Genomic DNA, 22,600 nt, shown 5'->3' on the forward strand with positions numbered 1-22,600 from the left:
AACTAAGAATAAGAGCAGCAACATATTCAATGATACAGTCCTGGTAAAATATTTTACCAGGCTGAGCGTGGTGGCTCATGTCTGTAATCCCAGCACTTTCGGAAGCTGAAATGGGTGGATTGCTTGAGCCCAGGAGTTTGAAACCAGCCTGGGCAACATAGCAAAACCCCATTTATACAAAAAATACACACAAAAATAACCAGGTGTGGAGGCGTGTGTTTGTAGTCCCAGCTACCAGGAAGGCTGAGTTGGGAGGATCACCTAAACCAGGGAAGGTCGATGCTGCAGTGAGCCCTGATCATGCCACTGCACTTTAGCCTAGATGACAGAGTGAGATCCTGTCTTCTCCAAAAACAAATTTTTTTTTGGAGAATCTGAGAAACCAGTCCATTCTTGGCAGTCACACAAAATAGACATTTTCCAATGTCTGTATTGGAATAATTGAGACATGTGTATCCTTCATGGCAATAATTGAGACATGTGTATCCTTTTATTAAGGAAGACGGGTCTTGATGGGTGCTATGGATCTCTTCCTAAGAAATGATTATGCTTTGTCTAGGTTTTTTTTTTTTTTGAGAACATCCATGGTCAGCAAAAATCCATCCAGAGAGCTCTGCTAGTGAAGAAAGTGTGTTATATGGCAGGAAAGCTTTAGAGCAAAAGTATGAATTTGCAGCTTTAAAAACATCCTACCTCAAAAAGCATTAATTCATGAAAGAAACATACATTCATAATAAAGTATAACGTAAAGCAATGCAAATATTCCAAATGATATAATGATACTGGATTATTTGATGAGTACCTCATTCTATTCTTCATTATTATTTACCCAAAGACGCAAAAGTTTTCAGTTTTGATTGGTGACTAAAGTAACAATATAAAAACAAAAAATTGTTTTAATTTTTTGTACATGTACATGTACCAATTTTTTTACACATAAAAAGTTATTAGAATTATCTAGTGATTTTAGATATGTCCTCTATTAGTCCATTTTCATACTGCTATAGAGAACTGTCCAAGACTAGGTAATTTATAACAGAAAGAGGTTTAATTGACTCACAGTTTAGCGTGGCTGGGGAGTCCTCAGGAAACTTACAATCATGGTGGAAGGTGAAGGGAAAGCTAGGCACCTTCTTCACAAGGCAGCCGGAGAGAGAGAGATAGCAAAGGGGGAAGAGCCCCTTATAAAACCATCAGATCTCATGAGAACTCACTCACTATCATGAGAACAGCATGGGGGAAACCACCCCCATGATTCAATTACCTCCACCTGGTCTCTCCCTTGACATGTGGGGATTATGGGGATTACAATTCAAGATGAGATTTGAGTGGGGACACAAAGCCTAACCATATCATGTCCATAGAATAGGCTGTTGTTGAAATTTAATTTTGATTACCCCAGAATGCTTCAAGAATACAGTGTTTTCTGAATCTTCAGAGGTGGAGAAGTCTTCCTCCCTGTCACATAATACTGAGATAAACCTTTGCATTCTAGAAAAATCTTCATAGGCCTTCCTTTACATGAGATATGACAAACCCATTTCAATTAATATAGCCCATGATTCAGGAAGTTGTACCGAGCAGTAAATTATTTTGCTCAACTCAGGAGTGGAGATTTCACCAAGTAGGTAATTGTGTCATTCAAATACATGTCCTGGTATTCTCGGTGTTACTGGTACAGGATTAAAGCTTGTCATGTCAGTTGTTAAATGTTTTAAATTAAAAAGGAATAATTTGTATACAGATTATATAGAAGGCTCATCCTGCATGGATAGATGCAAAACTTATCCCTCTGCTTTTTTATTCCATTATCTGTCTATAAGTGATGTCTCTCTGTAGGATATCTGCATCGTCTTGGACTGGGTTTTCTGTTCCCTGTGACTCTCTCCTCTTCCTAATACCATCCTCTAATCCCAAATGCACTGGTTTTAAAACACAAGTCTATAACTTTTTACTTTAAGTTCTACTATTGCTGTGTTATATGGTTTGGCTGTGTCCCTACCCAAATGTCATCTTGAATTGTGGTTCCCATAATCCCCATGTTTCATGGGAGGGACCCAGTGGGAGGTAATTTAATCCTGGGGGCATTTATCCTCATGCTGCTCATGTTTTTTCATGATAGTGAGTTCTCACAAGATCTGATGGTTTTATAAGGGGCTTACCCCTTTGCTGAGCTCTCATTCTCTCTCTTGCCACCCTGTGAAGAGATTCCTTCTGCAATGATTGTAAGTTTCTTGAGGCCTCCCCAGCCATGTGGAACTATGAGTCAAACCTCATTCCTTTATAAACTATCCAGTCTCAGGCAGTTCTTTACAGCAGCATGAGAACAGACTAATGCACTGTGGCAATTGATATTTTGCATATTTTTCCGTATTAGGTGATATGTGGTAAAAAGATTTGTACTGAGTAAAACATTAGATGTGCCTTCACCCCTAAAGCTGCTTTGATCAAGTTAATTTCAAATATGGCAGAATAGAGGTATTCAACTTTTTAACCCTGAAAATTAAATTTATGTCATATTTTGATATAAAGCAAAGGAAAATCAACTTTAATCAAAACATACTTGTTTTCCCTCTCCTATACAGACCGACCAAGACCATCACTATGACCGATGGAGACTATGATTATCTGATCAAACTCCTGGCCCTCGGGGATTCAGGGGTGGGGAAGACAACATTTCTTTATAGATACACAGATAATAAATTCAATCCCAAATTCATCACTACAGTAGGAATAGACTTTCGGGAAAAACGTGTGGTGAGTTTTTAATCGTACTTCTAACCTTGTCACTCATCCCCCTATATAAAATAAGAATCAAGAAGCTATGTTTATTGCATTGGAGTCTGTCTTTTGTCACACGAAATTCATAACCTGTCATTTTAATTTATTTTAGAATATTATTTACTACTTTTCAACTATAAATAACATTTTCCTAGAAAAGTATTAAGTGGCACTCTCTCTTGTCTCCCAAAGTGTACAAGGCAACCCAAATCAATATTTTACTGATTTGCATAGTGTGTTTTCTACAAATTCTTAAGAAATCTTTCAAAACTTGAATTATTAGAATTTAAAAACATTAACTCTGATCTGAGTTAAAGTCCTCAATAAGAGCAAGTGATCATTTCCCTACTCTTAAGAAAGAAGTTAAAAGTATGATTGGCAAATATCTGGAACATGAGCTTTGTAAGCTCTTGCTGCATTTTTATTTATGTGTAGACTCAGCCATCAATCACTGGCTTCTTATGAACAGAATGTGAGACCAATCATGCTGTTTTCCAAGATAAGAGAGTTTAAGTGAGAATCACAACCACTTCCTTCTCCTATGCTAGACGCTATTGACAGGAATAAGGATATTGTGACATGTGAGATGTGTAGCATAGGCACAGAAGCTAGGCCAGATTTACTGCCACCCTGGGTATTCTTGATTGCCAAGATGGCTGTGGCTTCCAGTTGATGTCACAAATCTACTCATTCCCTGAGAATTGGGAAAGAAAACAAAAGAAATGGTAACTGGAAGCCATTGCCTGGGAAGTTGAATCACGGTTTTTTTATAATGTGCTGGACCTGATCTGAAAGTCAATACATGGTTGTGTAGGCTTAGCAAACTCCCTGACAACCCATTCAGGGTTTTCCTGCCTTCTCTCCTTTCCAGTATCTGGGTATATGTCCTGGCAGAATTTTCCCTTTAAAACGTATTCACTAAACTATACTTAAGGAAACTGAGTAAATATTACATCTTTTAGGCTTTGCTTAAACAATAAAAAGGCCAGAATTTTTTTAAAAAAATTAAACTTACCTAAAAAGAGCCTTTGACTAAATGATTAGTGAAGAAAGGCTTGAAATGTCCTGTGTCAACTTATTGAGAAAGTCTGTGCATATTTCATGGCTAAGTCATTTTGAAAGTCCATTTCACAGTAAAAGATATTCGGATATTTGTAAAGCACTTTACTGTTTTAAAAAAACTGCTTTTACCATCTGTGATTTCACTGAAGTGTGCAGTTTGAAGTAACTCTGTAAATCAGGAAGGGGTTATGGGTCTCAATTTAGAGATAAGAAAATAAGACTCAAAGAGGTTAAATGAAGAGTTTGTATTTGAACCTAGAACTTGGGTCCTAAATCTGATGTTTGCTGCCTCATGAGGAAATGACAGAAGGTGTCTAATTTAAGTTTGCAATATGCCTAAACTGTGTTGAAAATCATACTTGCACTTGACATTTAAAAGTGAGAGTACATGTGATAATTCTGGAAAAAAATAAAGCAAATATTTATTCTGCACTATGAACTTTGATTATAGTAATTGAGAAAAAAACATGCTGAGTGAACCCAAAGAATTTGAGTGCTGACAAAATCCAAAGCAACCTCAACTAATGAACGTTGTATCTTTCAGGTTTATAATGCACAAGGACCGAATGGATCTTCAGGGAAAGCATTTAAAGTGCATCTTCAGCTTTGGGACACTGCGGGACAAGAGCGGTAATAGTAAATTGCTTTATTTGTGGCTACACATAGCTTAGAAAAACTTACTTTAAAATGAATTCTGTATGTGAACTTGAAAAACAAATAATATTCAACTCTTCTCCTGGTTTCAAAATAGACATTTGTATCCAGAAATAAAAATAAATGATTTGTAATTAATTAATCACAGTAGCACTGTGCAGTTGGTATGAATTTCAAAAATCAGACTTTCAAAAATCTCTCTGAAGATTCTTGCTATGCACTGTCTTTGCACTTCTTAGAAGGAAAAAAAGGTTCTCCAGAATTTAATTGAATGAAGATGGGAAATTAACGCCGTTATAAGTGCTACTTGAAGAGGGAGTTGAAGAAAGGGTGTTAAGATCTTCCTTGTCTCTTTCTGTTATTTCAGCACAGCCTCTTTGTCCCATGCCATGCGACTGGCTTTGTCCTTTCAGACTTTGATCTTAAAACAATTGCCCTCCAGCTAGAATATTTTACTCCTTCCCACTTTTCCTGATCCTCTCCTTGTACCAGGCCCAGCTCATATTTCTTCTCTTCTATGAAGCCTGTCTGAACATCCCAGCTGAAACAAACTCCCACTTTTACTCTGAACTACTGCAGACACCGGTTATTTCACCCTTAAGGTCTAAATAATTATATGCCACCTTGTCATGAAATGAACATTCTATTTGTATCTTTAACTGTTGTTCACTGATTCACTTGGGGCCTTCTCACTCCAACAAAATTGTCATCTTTACAGGTGTGGAGATCTTGCCTGGCTTTCCAGCATTGTCTCTGGTACAGTGTCCAAGCTAATACTCGGTAGACAGTAGTGTTAATTCCTTAGAGCTGGAGGTACTATTCCATTGTTAGATGGAAAAACAAAAGGGATCCAAAATTTCAAAGTGCAAAAGACCCCAAGCTAATGAAGCTTTTCAATATTAGATTAAATTAAAAGTGGCAAAAAATTGGCAGAGAGGATATTTAGAAGGCACATACCTCCAAATCCTGCATCGTGTGTCTTAGAATGCTTATGCTTGTAAACACTTCCATCTTTGAAATGCATCCAAAGCGTTCTCGCTTTTAGCGAGTGTAAATGCCAGGAGAGGTGCTGGGCCCTCTCTGTTAGCTTTTTTGACTGTGAATTCCATTTACACACACCCTTCAACACTGCTGGTTCCTCTGAAGCCATTCCTCACAAGAATCTCTGTTCATATGTCAGTTTTGTTGTCACAAAGATGTATGTTTTACAGAGCACTTTAATTCATTTTTGAAGAAGTAATATGAGAAAATGTGGTTCCCATATGTCCTCGCACATGATATGTCAGCCTTGCATGATGGCAGCCTTCTCTGTCTGTCCCCTGAAGGCAGCTGCTGTATGGGGGAAATGGGGAATACTCAGGGCAGGCTTCAGAACACTTGGGTTATTCATCACTTGAGAATTTTGCATTCTGTGTATATATAAGGTGTAACTAAGCAACAAGATAAACAATGCCTCACACCTCAGCCCTGTGCCTAAGGACATCTGGCTGTGCAATCCATGTAAGATAATGGGTATTGATAGAAGTCACATCATGGGAAGGAAGAGAAAACACATGGCCCTTAAGGAAACTTAAAGGATACAAGGCACAGACTTCATTCCCAGTGAGGGGGAGGAGTGATAATGTAGCTTTGGGGTCTGTTTCTTCTGTGATCCTAGTGTTCTGGAGCAAAAGGGGCTCATCACTCAATGCGCTAGAAGCCAATACTATGACACTGGATTTTGAGAAAAAGAAAGGTTTTATTGCAAATCGACTTGCAGGGAGACAGGAGGGTCAAGCTCAAATCTGTCTTTTTGTTCTGGCTTTTTGAAGTAGTAGTTTTATTAGAAAAAGTTGTGGCAGGGGTGGGTTCTAAAGGGGAGGGCTGGAAAGTCCTTGGACGTGGGCAGTTATCTCTGCATTCTATCTCAGGGGTCACGTGTGGAAATTCAAGGGGAGTTAGTATGAAACATGTGGTAGAAATTCAGGCTGTGACATTAGCAAGCTCATTCTGTACAGATTCCAGTCGGCCATATCGGTTCCAGTCGATTTCAGCCAGTTCTCTTATCTTATAAGCAGAGGGAGTTTCAGTGTTTCAGCAAGTTATTTCCTTCTTTATCTGCCATCCTGCAAACTCAATTTCTGTTCATCATTGGTTTCTGTAACTCTTTGGAACATGGTTTCACTGGTTCCTCCACCCTGCTGACTCAATAGACAGAATGAGATGGGTGGGGGAGGCTGGAAATGAATTACTTGTCTCCCCGTGGGGGAAATGGGGGATATCAAAGATACTGGACAGAATAGAGCAAGATGTCTGTTACTGCTCTGGAACAAGCGTGTCCTATCCATCCTGCTGGGGAGGAGAAATTGTTTGCCCCAAACAGATCACTACAGCAAGCATGTTTTTGAGTAACTTTGTCATACGCTCTGGGCAATGAGAGGGAATAACACACAGTTTTGTTCTCAAATGAGACACACACACTTAAGGAGAGAACAAAGAGCAGTTTTCCTGGCATGACACAATTATGGTCAAGTAGGAGACAATTTTGTGGGTACAGCTAGTTTCCAAAGAGGGAGAATTATTCAATCAAAGCACTATAATCTCTGTGGGCTTCCAAGGAATGGTAGAAACAAATCCACAAGAAAAAATTGAATAAATTTTTTTGGTATTTCTGCTCTACAGTTTTAGATCATGATGATGCCCTACAGACAAATCCTACTTTGGAAATAAATAGCAGTGAAAATATCTCTTCTCCCATCTTTTGGTATGAAAAGTATCATTCTCTGTTGCAGTCATTTAAAATATTTAATAATTGTATATCTTTTACTGTTTCTTTCTTTCACTTGCACTGTTTAACTTCACAAATATTTAGTGAGCAAATACCAGGTTCTGAGCCATGAAAATATGATGGATAGCAAGTTAGAAACACAGCTCCCTTCCCCTTAGAGCTTACAGTCTAGGGTAGAATTTGGATGAATAAACAATCGCAATGGAGCCTTAGGATACTAACAGGAAAACAAAGACATAGGCAGGCCCACCAGGAGGAGCGCATAGCCCACATGCAGTGTTGGGAAGGCCCCTTCGGGAAGTGTTATTTCCTCTGATACCATTATGTATTTGCTCATGCACAATGTATGAGTGAGTGCTATCCAGGCTCAACGAAGGGGTAGGAAGAAAAGGAAGCACTAAGACTAAGTAACCCACAGAAAGACCAGCATGTGTGAAAGCCCAGGGGAGCAGAGTGAACTTTCTAAGAACTAAAAGAAGATCAGCATGTCTGTGGGTAGTCAAAGGGATGAAGTTGGATAGATGAACAAAGATCACTTCCTGCAGAGCCTTGCCAGCTTTGTAAGGAGTTTGTGCATTACCTTACGAGTGATGTCTAATCATTAAAATGTCGTTAGTAGAGCATTGATATAATCTATGGGAAGAAATGGAGTGGTGATAGGAGTAGGGTCCCAAACAAAACTGGACACGGGAAGCCTAATCAGAAAGCTGTTGAAGTTGTCCAGGTGAGAGAGAATGGGTTTGGAAGTAGAGTAGTGGCAGAGTAGATGGCCAGAAATGAGAAGGTCGAAAGATATATGTTAACTGTAGACACCAGGTGAAGGAGGAAGGGATCATGGCAACCAGAAGGGTGGTGATGTCATAAACAGAAAAAGAAATTAGGAAGAGTGGCCAGTTTGGTTTTGGATGTATGAAGTTGGAGATGCCTGAGTTTCCACCAGCTGGAAGTATCCAACAAGTAATTAGGCATCTAATGTGAAAGGCAGGGAACATCTGGATCTCTAATTTTGGGCTTCTCAACACACAGGCTACAAATGAGCCACGGAAGTGGATAAGATTATCCAGTCAATGTATATAGAGTAAGAGGGGTCAAGAATAGACCTCTGAGGAAACCAACACAAAGGATCTATAAAAAGGCTAAAATAGGAGACCAAAAATTAGAAGAACATTTAGGATAGGAAGCGATATCTCTAGTTCAAAGTTATGTGCCTTTCTAAAAACCCATTGCCAAATTCAAAACCTTCTCTGGTCCCTACATGTGGTCTCTGGTTTTGCCCATTGCTCTTATTGAAGTGAATCTCAGCACATCTTTAACTTCACTGAAGATGGTTGGTGGTGGCTGGGGTCGGGGGTGAGGGCATGGAAAGCTGACCAGGCAGGGAAAAACTTTGCATTGCACACGAAAGAGCAAATTCTCTAAAATCCTCATTAGAAATGAGAGTTCTTTCCTTCTTTCCCCAATGACTATGTCTCTTTTCTGTCCTGACCCCCACTCAGTCCTCCAATCATCTTCCTTTTCCTCGTGAATCCTAGATGCCAACCTGAAGCTCAGTTTTACCCCCAAACAGTGCTTTTTGAAAAGAGTTTTGTCATCAATATTCTTCCTTACAAAAGAATTCCAATTCCTGTAGCTAACAAGTTGCGGTTTCCTTCATATCATCACAGGCATTCATTTTCAGGCTACTGTGTGCCAAGCTTTCTTCTGGGCACAGACAAGAAAGATGGAAAGTATAGGTTAAAGTCCCCACTCTAAAGTGCTTTACATTTTAAATGTGGACCACAAAATGCCCACGAGCCAAAAAGATTCCAAGAAGCTGTGTAAGCAAATCCATGATTGAATGTTACAAACTGTGTGTATAAAGTGCTGTGAGATCAGAAAGCCAGGAAGTGGTCTTAAAAAAAAAAACTACAACCAAATCTTCTCTCTTGGTTCTTCAGCAATTTCTCTGCCCACATTCCCATTTCCCTAAGATATTCCATAAGGGCCAGTCACGGAGAATTCATACCTGAAAGGGAAACTGTTATTTGTGTTGTTGTCAAAGATATGTGGACTAACTTTCAGAACTACCCACTGTGTTTCCTTGGCAGGTTCCGGAGTCTCACCACTGCATTTTTCAGAGACGCCATGGGCTTCTTATTAATGTTTGACCTCACCAGTCAACAGAGCTTCTTAAATGTCAGAAACTGGATGAGTAAGTGGGACTGAGTAATGTGCATTGGCCGCTTTGGGACTCAACTGCCTTAGGTGCTTGTTGGTCTTGCAAGATGAAACCAGATTGGGTACCACAGATTAACTTTCAAAGTCATGAGTTTAGTGTTGCCTGTGCCACTGTGTCACCTTCAAAGTGGTGGCCTTTATGTGGACCACCCTAGGTAGCTTGGAATAGTATTTTCTAAATATCTAAAAATTGATATTTTTAGAGGAAGCCTATGTAGCTTTATCACCACTTGTATTTAAGATCTTTATTATTGTCATTGAAAGGCCATTGATTCCACTTTTCCAGTAAGTCTTGAAGGACTTCTTAAAACTAAGTGAGCTACTACATTTGACCTGGGGAGATCACAGGGAAAATCGGCAGTATTTTCTGAGGGGACACTGGCACTGAAGGTGTGTTAAACACTAGTGGGTTAATTAGGTGTGAAACCAGAGCAGACCAGTCGCATGATGATAAGGTGAGGCATAGCACAGTGTGTCAGTCAGTCAGCTCGCTTGGGAATTTTACTTTTAAAAAGGGGTTCAAATGTGAGGAAACCATGTAAAGACAAATCTCCAGCCCCTGTGGAAACTTCGATATAGTACAAATTGAAATGTTGCCTAATCAATTACTAAAGTCATATTGACATACATCACCACAGGAGAGAAGTATTGGAATTTTCCTTTGTTTTACTTGATGTCATAATAAAGGGCATATTTCATTTGTATTTTTTATTACAAATAAGAATTTTGATCCTAGCAGGATATACAAGTAGCAGGACAGCTGAGTCGTCCTATGGGGCTGCTCTTATCATTTCCAGATTTGTCTGGGCCATCTGTAGCTAGAGTTGTATTTTTTAAAAACTAGATCATGTTATTTTCCTGCTCAGAGTCCTTCTGTAACTTTCCATCTTACCCGGAATAAAATCCAGAGTCCTTCACTTACCTACAAGGTCACTGTGATGATGTCTGGGCTTCCTCCGTAATTCCCTCTTACTTGGGCCCCGTTCACTAGCCTTCAGCCAAACTGCCTCACATGCTATTCCCAGTATGAAAATCTTGCCATTCCCTTTATCTTTTTTCTCTTCTCTCATTTACAGCCCTGTGCTAGTTTCTTCATTCCCTTCAAGTTCTGGCCAAACTTTATTTACCTCTTGACTGACCACTCCATCTAAAATAGTACTCATCACTCTGTATCCCCTCAACACACTTTATAGGTCATGGCCATCACCTGATAATGTGTTATGTATTTTTTGGTTTACTTGTTGTGTTAGTTCATTCTTGCATTGCTGTAAAGAAATTCCTGAGACTGGGTAATTTATAAAGAAAAGAGGTTTAATTGACTCACAGTTCTGCAGGCTGTATGGGAAGCATGTGGCTGGCATCTGCTTGGCTTCTGGGGAGGACTCAGGAAACTTACAATCATGGGGAAGGTGACGGGGGAGCAGGCACATCTGACATAGCAGGAGCAGCAAGTGAGCAAAGGGGGACGTGCCACACACTTCTAAGTAACCAGACCTCATGAGAACTCACTATCATGAGAACAGTACCAGGGGATGGTGCTAGACCATTCATGAGAAATACTCCCCCAGGATCCAGTTGCCTCCCACTAGGCCCCACCTCCCACATTGGGGATTACATTTCAACGTTGGACATAGATCCAAACCATATCACTTCTACACCCACTTCAAGTTTTACCCAAACCTTATTTGTCTCTTGACTGACCACCCCATCTGAAATAGTACTCATCACTTTGTATCCCCTCAACACGCTTTAGAGTTCATTCAGTCCCAGCCATCACCTGACATGATGTGATGTATTTTTGGTTTACTTGTGTTTTTGATGCTTTCTACCACTAGAATGTAAGCTCTTATGAGAGTGCAGACTTTTCCATTTTATTTCAATGCAATATGCCATACCTGGGTGAGTGCCTGGCACAGAGTAGATGCTCAAAATAGATATATTTCTTATCACTACATATTATGCAAAATTGATAATGTATTTTGTATATAATTCATGATTATATATAATAATTATATAGAACCACTCTCGGTGTGGGTTCAATAACCTTGTAACTAATGGGGAAACAAATTCTGACTTTCATAATTGCTTCTCCAAATGAACGTTTATCTTAGGATCTGTCCTTTATTTCCATTTAATATTGTATTTCATTACCCAAATTTTGGTGGTAGCTTTAGATTCCCAGGAGACAAGGAGATAATAAGCTTATTAAATTCTTTCAGAGAATGGTTTGTTTATCCTTTTTCAAGGCAGATGAGAGTCTCCCTTGTTTTTAAACGTCTCCAGAAGGATATTGCTGAGATTTAAGATAATTAATTGTCATGCCTAATAACACTTTAATTTTTAACACCCAAGTAATTGGTGTTACAGAGTTAGCCTTTCTTTGTCTTCTTCCTCTAGTCTTGGCAAGGTAGCACACAGCATGCCTTATGATAGACATTAGAGCAGCCTCTGTAACCTCAAAAACACAGCTTGACAGGTTTCTTATATTTTTTTCCCTTTTTTTCTTACCATGCCCTTCCTGCCCTGCCCTGCCCTCCCCTCGCCAACTCTCCCTCCCTTCCTCCCTCCCTCCCTCCCTCCCTTCCTTACTTCCCTCCCTCCCTCCCTCCTCTTTCTCTCTCTCTCCTCCCCCCTCCGCCCACACATAGTGTTTTTTGGAGAAAAGAGAAAAACAAATTACTGGTCTTAAAATTGTTTCTACATGAATTTGTAGTGATTAAAAAATGCTCCACACTATAGATCATCATTTCGGAGGTTAGAGAAAGGAAAGGTAACAACTTCCTAAAGGAAAAAACAAATTTACCCACTTAAAAATCATGTTCTATTTACCTCCATCTATATTTGAGGAACAAATGGTGTGAAGCAGTTATGGCCATCTCAGGGAGCATTTCCCCAGATGTATTCCGTATTTACTGAATACTTACTATGTGCTAGCAACTTGGTATGTATTATTAGAAGATATGCTGTATTATTAGAAGAAATCCCCTTATTTATTATTATGTATGTGTATTATGTATTATTAGAAGAAATCCCCTTAACCAAGAATAGCACATGGATTGAAAAGATCTTCCAGAGGAATATATGTGATGTTTTAATGAATTACTTAATAATAAAAGCACCTAACATTTACTAAATGTTTGGTGTTGACAGAGGTGCTTCATATATATTATTAGAAGAAATCTCCTTAAGCAAGAACAGCGCATGGATTAAAAAGATCTTCCAAAGGAATACATATGATGTATTAATGAATTACTTAATAATAAAAGCACCTAACATTTACTAAATGTTGGGTATTGATACAGGTGTTTCATATATATTATTAGTCCCCTTCATAATCTGAAATTTGTAAGGTGTTATCTCCGTTTTACAGATAAGCACATTGTGACTGGGAAGAGGAAGTAACTTGGCCAATATAACTAGTAAGCAACCAAACTGGAGATAAGCAATTAGATCAGGAATCTGGAATAAGAGCAGTCATTTGACATCACTTATTTATCAATAACTTGCTGGTTCCATCTGCTTTCTTTTCAAGGCCAACTGCAAGCAAATGCTTATTGTGAAAATCCAGATATAGTATTAATTGGCAACAAGGCAGACCTACCAGATCAGAGGGAAGTCAATGAACGGCAAGCTCGGGAACTGGCTGACAAATATGGGTAAGTCAGTTACACTGAGATGGCATGTGACTTGCACACTGCTGTTCAGCAAATGGAGCAGAGACATTAGATTGATATTAGAAGAAATCCCCTTAACCAAGAACAGCATGTGGATTAAAAAGATCTTTCAGAGAGATATATATGATGTATTAATGAATTACTTAATAATAAGAGCACCTAACATTTACTGTATACCTATAATGTGCTAGCAACAGTTCCTAGACATTAACTCATTTTAACCCATCATAACTAGAGTTATCTCATTTTATATATAAGAATTGAGTCACAGAGAGATTAAGTAACTGATGGAAGGCCACCCCACACAGTTAGTGACAGGCAGAGCTTAAACTCAATCCAGACAGTCTGATATCAAAGCTCATGCTCTTAAACACTGTATTCTTCTGCCTCTCAATCAATAGATGTAAAACTCCAAGAAATAATCCCTGACAAGGGTATGAAAATGTGGTCTTTATCCCAGCTGAGCTTGAATGGCAGCTTAAAAAAAAAAACAGAAACAACACCCCATGTAATTGTAAATTGACTTCCGTGGCAGAATCTGTCATTATTCTTTAAATTTAAAGTAGTTTTATCATATCTGCCAATTTTTTATGGAAGAATTCTCCCTAAAAGCTGTACAATTTACACGTCTTTCTTGAAACTTTTAAATCCAAATAAACATTGACTGTATTCACACAAATATCCTTATTCAATGCATACCTATTTTTTAAAGGAGATTTCCAGATAATTGAGTGGAAGGGAAGCAATATTTTAATAGTAACATTGGTCAGTAGTTTTATTGATCAGAGGGTATTTTTCCCCTCCTAATTTTTTTAAACAGTGATAATGCCTTGGCTTCAACTTCCTGACTACCTCTTGTGTCAATTTCCTTGCCCATAAAACTGGTTGTAATCATACTAAAGAGCAGCTCACCAATTTTTACTCACTGAGGAAAAAACAAGGATGCTTTCCAACTTAGCCAGCAAAACCATAATCATTTCACAATCTCTCAGCCAGCCGTTTTTGCATGTGTGATTCACTTGTACATCTTGCTGTATCTGTTCTGATTTCTTCCTCTCAAAAATATTTGCCATCCTTTCTATGCTAGCATACCATATTTTGAAACAAGTGCAGCAACTGGACAGAATGTGGAGAAAGCTGTAGAAACCCTTTTGGACTTAATCATGAAGCGAATGGAACAGTGTGTGGAGAAGACACAAATCCCTGATACTGTCAATGGTGGAAATTCTGGAAACTTGGATGGGGAAAAGCCACCAGAGAAGAAATGTATCTGCTAGACTCTACATAGAAACTGAACATCAAGAACCCCACCAAAATATTACTTTTAAAAACAATGACAAACCACACAATTGTTGTTGAGTAAACCACGCACAATGGCATGTCTTTCTTTTTCTGCCAGAAAATCTATTTTAAGAAACCAGAATAGTCAACAGTGTTCAAAAGAATTGACTAGTTATCCCTGAGGCCCTTTCAAACATGATCAAAGATTTCCCAATGTGATCTCATCATCATGGATACTCAATTTGTTTTTTCTTATAGAGAAAATGAGTATATAAGACAATATACAAGAAGAAATATCAGTGAGTTTTAAATCAGAACAAGTTACCTGTCACATTGAAGAAAAGGGTAGGCACTAAAGGGAGAACACAGAAAGAAGAATTTCTAAAATATTGGATTTACTTCTTATATTGAGTCAGATGCATACTTTTAGATTTGCATTGGGGAAAATGTACTAGCTAAAAATGGATACACAATGAAGAATTCTATTTGGCTAATTAAGAATGATATACTATGTACACCCAATAAGCTGTACTAGAATGAATAAATTACTGATAAGGTTACAAATAGGTAAATGTCACACTTCTGTTAAAATGCAGGAGGTAGTGTCATAATGCCGTCTTTATATTCTTAATAAATAGCACTTTGACAAGAACAGGACTGTAAATGATGAAGTACAAGACAAATACCCTGGGAAAAAAAATGAAAGTATGAGAAATTGGCATTTCTACAGCTGAAATTCAATGTATCTGTTAGAGATGTCTGGAAGGGTTACTTAGCCAAATTTTACTCAAGCCAATTAGGAGCTGATATTATCAGTTGGAATTAAGAGAACTCCAGAGGTTTCCATTTCAAACAAAATTTTAGAAATTGGTTTGGTGTTCAGCTTCACATTTCATTTTTTCTTAGCACATGTTGATAAAATAGTCACAAGGAGAAATTACCAGTTACGGTTTATTAAATCTCTTTTAAAATGCAGTCAAGGAAAACTAGCCTTGAATTTTTTTTAGATAAAATAAGATGGTGATATGAAACAAAAAGTGGCAATTATTGCAGGTTTCCTTTTAGTTTACAAAAGTACTGGAAACTAAATCATATTTCTTCCCTCCAAATTTCACCCATTCCTGACTTTGAATCAATTGCAGAAATGCAGGTGTGTTACTTTGTTGATCAATAACTTTGGAACAATTATGGATCAATTCTATGGTCACTCTGAATTTTCATGTCATTAATCACATAAAAATTGATAATACCTCATTCTGTATTACAATATGATTTTATTTTGCCAAAGGCAAGACACCTATAGTTGAGCTGTATTTTGGGGGATTGGGTGAGGAAGGACTTCTGATCTTATCTCAACAAAAAACTGGCCAGTATTTTTGTTAATGTAAAGCTTCCTTTTCTTTCTAAAAAATAGTAACAAAATTATTTTTCATTGGCCTATTCTGTTCTTGTGTCTAAACTAACATTACATTAATTTTTAATCTTAGTTTCTGATAAACACAAGCCATTCCTATCAAAATATTATTTATTTCAGTCAATTTTACCAAATAACAAAGACAATATATTTTCGTTTTTTTTTATTATGAGCATATGATTTTTTGACAGGCTGTTTCCTCGTCGTATAGATTTTTTCCAATCAAACCTACTTTTTCCATACTCTGTGCATATTTTTTGTGAAGTTATACACATTGAAGACCCTAAAAATCCCAGTCCATCATTCAGCTTACCTCTGCGAACTTCTATCTGGTATTGAATCAGTTTCAGAAACACAGACAGATCCAAGGAAATGTCTCTTTATAATGTTCTTAGGATGGACTAGACCCATAAATGTGCCATGAATCAAAATATTAATAATTTGAAAGCTTTCATGCTGTTAGCCCCTGATGAAATTCTCAGCATTAACTGGCCAGCTCCTCTGATTTCTGCAGCATCGCAACAGGTTCGAAGATGGGTTGTGGCTGGGTATTCCCTCCCATGGTGTTTCCTCTGGGATGCTCTTCATTATCTCAATGCCTGTGCCATGAAGATAGAAAACTGTAAGCTAACATTTAAGATGTTTCTTCTGGAAGGAAAGTGAGCAGGAACAAGTTATATTGCCACTGCTGTGGCAAATTTTGGTGAACTTTTGGGGTCATTATATCAATTTTTTCTTTGGATTCAAATTGTAATGTCCCCTGCATTTCCTTAATAGGGAATGTGAAACCTTTATAAAACTCTAAAAGTATTCTGTTTTGATATGTCTTTTTGTTTCTATTCATTTTCAGTTATATGATTGATTTACTTATGCCAAGATTCTGTCACTGTCAGTTATTTAATGAGTGTTTTTTCAGGGTCTGTTTTAAGATCATTATTTGATAGCTGTAGCATGAAGCAGAGGTTGATGATGCCCATAATTGCAAGACTATTCCTGTAAAAATAACAATTATTGGGTAATAACTTCAAGAGGAATGAGAAGTGACAAAATTGATTTAAAATATTGTTCTACTTATAAATAAATGCTTGATATAAAAAATTTTCTCCATAAAGTTTGACATCTGACCCCAGATTCTATGTAATCATTATTAGAAATTCCTTCTCTCATTATTTCAGGATTAGTAGTTCTGTGTAATTCATTTTACAATTTCAAATTGTTCTGGTGCCATAAAGTATACAGACTACTTTAAAGATTTCCAAATCCCCTAATTTACCCCACAACAGCATGTAATTTTAGCCAAGATATGTCCTGTTACTAAGTATCTCCCAATGCTTTAGTAAAACGTATTTAGGAGAAATGTTGAAAATGTACATGAAGCTCCTTTCTGATATAGAAACCATTTCTGGAGTATTTACACTGGTTTGATGTTTACATTGCTCTAACTCGGTGCCTCAGATACCTCTGTGACCAAATTTGTCTCCAACCACATAGCTCATTTCCTATAATGTTATATCATAGGAAGCCCTCACAGAGACACTAACACAGCTAAAGATCTTCTGATATTATCAGCAAGGGATGCAAGGACTTTATTGGAATCTGGAGAGTTTAACTGCCTTCTCTTGGTCTCCTCACTTACTTCTTATGAAGTTGGCATTACCTGAGACTCTTAGCTGTGATTAGGTACAAGCTTACCTTTTAGGGTAGAAAAAGAAAGATCATTTGAAAAATGTATCTAAAATAATCCAGAGAACATAATGTTTGTCTTGGTCTGATAATGATAAGAAGTCAAGGATTGGCAGAGAAAATACTAAACGCCAAGAGTTGAGCCTGTGGGTCTCTCCATAAGAGTTTTAAAACTCTTGCCAGTTACCACTTTATCCAATTTGCTATCATTTTCGTATTATCAGCTATCGCCCTGTAAAATATTCAAAACTAGCTATTTCTAAAGTAAACATTTTATCTGTTACTTTTAACCAGATAGGTGTCTTTGTCATCCTTCTACTATAAATTGTTCTTTGCCAACCTGTACAGGTAGATGAACCAGGCGAGAGTTTTAATCAGCCTTTTCTTGTCCCCTTTGTAAGAAAGAGATGCTTGCCATAGAGAAGGACATGAGTACATTAAAAATAATTTAATAGCCACAATATGATGTTCTTTAAGCTGCAAATTGAGTACACTGGGAATCAACAAATTTGATGAAGCCTGTCTGTCTCTTCACCAGTGGAGTGAGTGCAGCAGTTAGAAAGAGAAGCAATATTGTGCAACTGGTGCAGTGGTGAGTTAATCATAGTGTATAACCTTGTGTTCATGAAACAGGTTGTTCATTGTTCTGCATCTCTCTTCATTTAAAAAGGATACACAATTCTTTCCTCATTGCATATTACACCAAACGTTTGAGGGAAAAATCCTCATTCGTAAAGGATTTTGGATGTATAATCTAAAACTCAACAATAAAGAAATAATATTCCAAGTCTCTGGTTTCCTAAGATACATAATAACTGTTTATAAAGAAGGTCTAAGAGCTGATATTTGCCAAAGTGATAGAAGAGTTGTTTTTTCCTCTCTACTACCAAGCTTTAAGACATTAAAAGAAGTCTAGTGTATTTGAATATTTTAGAGAAAGCTTTATCATTTTTTAAGATGCCAAGATGCTGCCTACGTTTGCAAAAGTTGTCTAAGAATTCACCATGAGCTATATTTTCTTCTGGATCTTTGACCAAGGTGATGTCAGCTTATTTCTGGGGAAGGTGTTGAGCTCTTATACATGAAAATGGATATAGGCTATTCTCTGGGATGAGTGTCATTTCAATGCTTTATAAATCCATGAAGCTGCTTGTCTCATAAAGTAGAACTGATACAAATTTTGGTTGGATATATAGAGAATTTTATAAATGTATTGCCTTAGAATTTCTGGGTGGAGACCCAACTACAATGACATTGTCATGCCAGAACTATAAAGATAATTAGAGTTAAAAGTTGTTTAAATTGTGCCCTTAAATACAGCAGAACCTGGAGAAGGTCATACTTCAAAGGTCGATTTTGAGTCCGAATAAAGAAAGACCTAGTAACAGATAGTTTTTTTTTGTTCATTTTCTTCTACCAAGTAGAGGTTTATGCCCTCAGAACTAAACTAGTAAAAATATCTGAACAAAAAACCTTTCGTTGTTGGCATAAAAATGTGATACACTTAGAGACATTTTGTTTATTGCATATAAATCTAATTTTTCCATAAATTAGATTTATGATATTTTCATAAAGCACTTGATTAGTTTTTCAAGGCGTACCATCACAAAGATGCTTTCCTGCAGAGTTCTTTGTATCAACAGCCTATGGTTGAGATGTTTTCTCATTTCCTGTAGAGAGAGAATACCACTAACAAACAAACAAAAACTTTAGTGCCAAAATAGTGGAACTATTTTGTCATCTTTTGAGAAAAAAATATACAAAGAAGTCATCTTTTCATTAAGTGGATTCCCTGGTTCCTTTCCAGCTGGTTGTGGAAGTAATGGCTAACATCCTTCAGCTGACTTTGTCTACAAGGATTATTAGCAAATTCTGTAGGAGCAAGCATGTCTGACCTTAACTTAATGGATCCCTTATTCAATCAGTGGCTTCTGTCTTTATGTCTGTTGGCATATCAAAATGGTTTCTGTTCCTAGAAAAGTAATAACATATGCTTATCTTTATTCTTTTTCCAGGTGATTTTGTTTTCAAATGCTCCTTGTGAAAACACCTAGTGTTGTAGAAAGGAAAGTGGCCAGAAAGAACAACTTGGGACCATGAGTAGGTCATTAAATAGCTTAGTGATTTATCCTCATATAGGGCTTATAAACCCTGTATGTGTTTATATGTGCTTCACAGAGTTCGTGTCAGGCTCAAAGGAGATATGTATAAGAAAGTGGTTTGTAAATTATGTTCCATTTCATAAATAGACACTATTCACAAACTAAAATCTAATAAAAAACCACAGTTGTAATTTAAACTGCTTGATATAAAAAGAGGTATCATAGCAGGGAAAACACACTAATTTTCATACAGTAGAGGTATTGAAAACTGAAAATGGGAAGGCAACTTGAAGTCATTGTATTTGATTGAAAATGTTTAATACATCTCATTATTGACAAAATATGTCATCTTGTATTTATTTCAAGGAAACCAATGAATTCTAGGTAGTATATTACAAGTTGGTCAAAATATTCCATGTACAAATAGGGCTTCTGTGTCCATAGCCTTGTAAGAGATACTGATTGTATCTGAAATTATTTTTTAAAAAAATAAATTATCCTGCTTTAGTTAGTGTGTTAAAAGTAGACGATGTTCTAATATAACACTGAAGTGCTTCATTGTATCCCAACAGTTTACCTTCAAGTAATATTATCTTTATTTTTAGGCTAAGCACGTTTGATTATTTTGTCTGTCTCCTATATAGATCTGTTTTGTCTAGTGCTATGAATGTAACTTAAAACTATAAACTTGAAGTTTTTATTCTATATGCCCCTTAATAGACTGTGGTTCCTGACGCACACTGTTAGGTCATTATTTTGTTGTACCAAAGTTCTAGTGGCTTCAGAAATCATAGCATCCAATGATTTTTTGGTGTCTGGCTATGAATACTATGGTTGAGAATTGTATTCAGTGATTGTTTCTGCACACTTTTCAAATAAAAAATGAATTTTTATCAATTATTTTCTGTACTCAAAGCAACTTTATTTCTGTGCTGAAGTTGAGTGTATGGTGAGTGGGGAACATTAAACCAATATTAGCATGGAACTTGTATCACATTAAAAATGGATTCCATTCCCAACTAGGAAATAAGTGATTTGGACTTAGCAAAGTGATTTTTACTTACCTCTCCAAACTTTTCATTAATTATTTAAAGACTGGGCTTTGTGAGTGAATTTTTAAAATAATTTTGAAGGAAACATTTATTAAACTTAGCAATTAACATGTTGAAGTGTTCACTAGTACATAAGCACTTCCACGTATTATAACCTATTTCTTCTCCATAAGAAAATGCTGAGCGGGTGGTGGTATCTACCTTAGTGGCACACTGGTGAAAGATGGTGTTTGAGGCCGACTCCAGACCACAACTGTACAGCTTCCTTTACAACGTTCATTTGCAAAGGCTGACTTGTTCCCAGAGTGGATCTCCCTCCATATGTTACTTAGATTGGCTTTGCCAAGATAATGATGAGTTCTTAATTTAAAGATAAACAGCTCTCCCACTGCAGGCAAATAAATCCTTGGCACCATTCTCTCAACTTTATTCCCCAGTAGCAATAATGCTGTTTCTCACAGGCAGAATCTTTTGCCCACTGGGTTCATCTTAAATAATTCAAGATAAGTAATTGAGAACTCATTTTTCTTAATGGTTTTATAGAATTTTTAAAAAGTCACAGCATGCCCCATATTGAGGAAAAATAAAATAAAATAGAGCTGCTGGACATTCACTGTAATTATAGAATTTCTGTTTTTAAAGCCATATATAAGGTGTATTATTCACAGTTCTCCATGCCAAGGAGAATTTCATTTCTAATATGGATTGCTACTGGTGGGGAAAGAATAGCCATAATAGTGTGAGCATGGCTGTTCTCTTAGAAACTCATTTAGCTGACTTGCATTACAGCTTAGGAAGCCTATACACTAATTAAGATTTAACTAAAGCTATGTTATAGGTACTCAATGTTTTGTGATGGTAATCTGACTTTTGCAATTACCATAGTTTTGGACCATTTCGCTGAGAAAGACAAAAGACTGTCCATTACCAAAAGGATAAAAATTAAAACCAGCAAGATTACAAGAGAGGATTTCATCTGTTCAATTGATACCCCCAAGAAAGTTACATCATGAGCTCGTTCACTCTCATGAGAAAGTGAACCAGAAGGAGTGATTACGAGTTGTGCTGGTTAGAACATTGATTTATGAGTACTCCCACTCTGAGCAACCTTGGGACGTTTCTCCTCCCCTTACTTCCAAGGGCATTTCCTCTAGCCAAGAGGGGAAGTCAAAGCAAGACCACTTAACTGAACCATCTAGGCTCAGTTTTTCTTTTGATGCTTTTTGCAGAGAACATGGGCTTTCTCAGTATATTAGGGAAACTAGACCCAGGAGGGGATTGAGATACAGATTCCAAAAACTTGTTGGCTAATTACTGCTCAGCATTCAAAGAATTGGAAGGATAACTTACTAATCAAATAAAAGGAATGATTTATACAAAGGAAATATGACAAAATATATGCATAGGTAAGGATTTAGATGATATTGAGTCTTCCTCTCCTATTTAAATTGCAAATCTATAGTTAACATTTGTTAAATTATCACCCAATTTAAAATTGCAACCACACTGTCATCCCTAAAACTTCCTATTTGTGGGTTCAGCTTTACTTTTCTTCAATTCTTCAGACACCTCTGACTGTATTATCTGTCTCTCCTCACTAGAATATATTCCCATGAAGGTAAAGACTTTTTCTTTCTTCCCTGCCCCTCCCCGTATACCCCACCCCCAAACTGCCCACTACTGTAGCCCTGGCATCTAGAACAGTGCCTGGCAAATAGGATGTGATCAATAAATATTCGTTGAAAGAAAAATGAGTGAATCCTGCCAGAGAACCTGTTTGGGTGGACTGTAGAATAACAGTGCTCATGTCTTTTACTACTTTATTGAAGCAAATATTATATACAATACATTGCACATATTTAAACTGTATAAAGTAATGACTACTGTCATGGAATGTTCCCATGAAAAAATCA

General features: G+C 37.1%; 1 protein-coding gene across 9 annotated transcripts in view; it reads left to right on the forward strand.

Moving 5' to 3' along the window:
* RAB27B (RAB27B, member RAS oncogene family) overlaps positions 1-20,535 on the forward strand; it is a 177,660-nt gene extending 157,125 nt beyond the window's left edge. For 7 of the 9 annotated variants that reach the window (XM_017025913.2, XM_017025914.2, NM_001375327.1 and 4 more), the window contains 5 exons: positions 2,586-2,757; positions 4,388-4,473; positions 9,352-9,455; positions 13,014-13,137; positions 14,243-20,535. In XM_017025913.2, the coding sequence (XP_016881402.1) occupies positions 2,605-2,757; positions 4,388-4,473; positions 9,352-9,455; positions 13,014-13,137; positions 14,243-14,432 (657 nt within the window). In that variant the 5' untranslated portion in view covers positions 2,586-2,604 and the 3' untranslated portion in view covers positions 14,433-20,535. The remainder of the gene's footprint in view (positions 1-2,585; positions 2,758-4,387; positions 4,474-9,351; positions 9,456-13,013; positions 13,138-14,242) is intronic. The other 2 variants (XR_007066208.1, XM_006722518.2) reach the window with 2 other exon arrangements.
* The last annotated feature ends 2,065 nt before the right edge of the window (positions 20,536-22,600 follow it).

This window comes from Homo sapiens, chromosome 18 (assembly GCF_000001405.40).
Source record: "Homo sapiens chromosome 18, GRCh38.p14 Primary Assembly".
Lineage (NCBI taxonomy): Eukaryota > Metazoa > Chordata > Mammalia > Primates > Hominidae > Homo > Homo sapiens.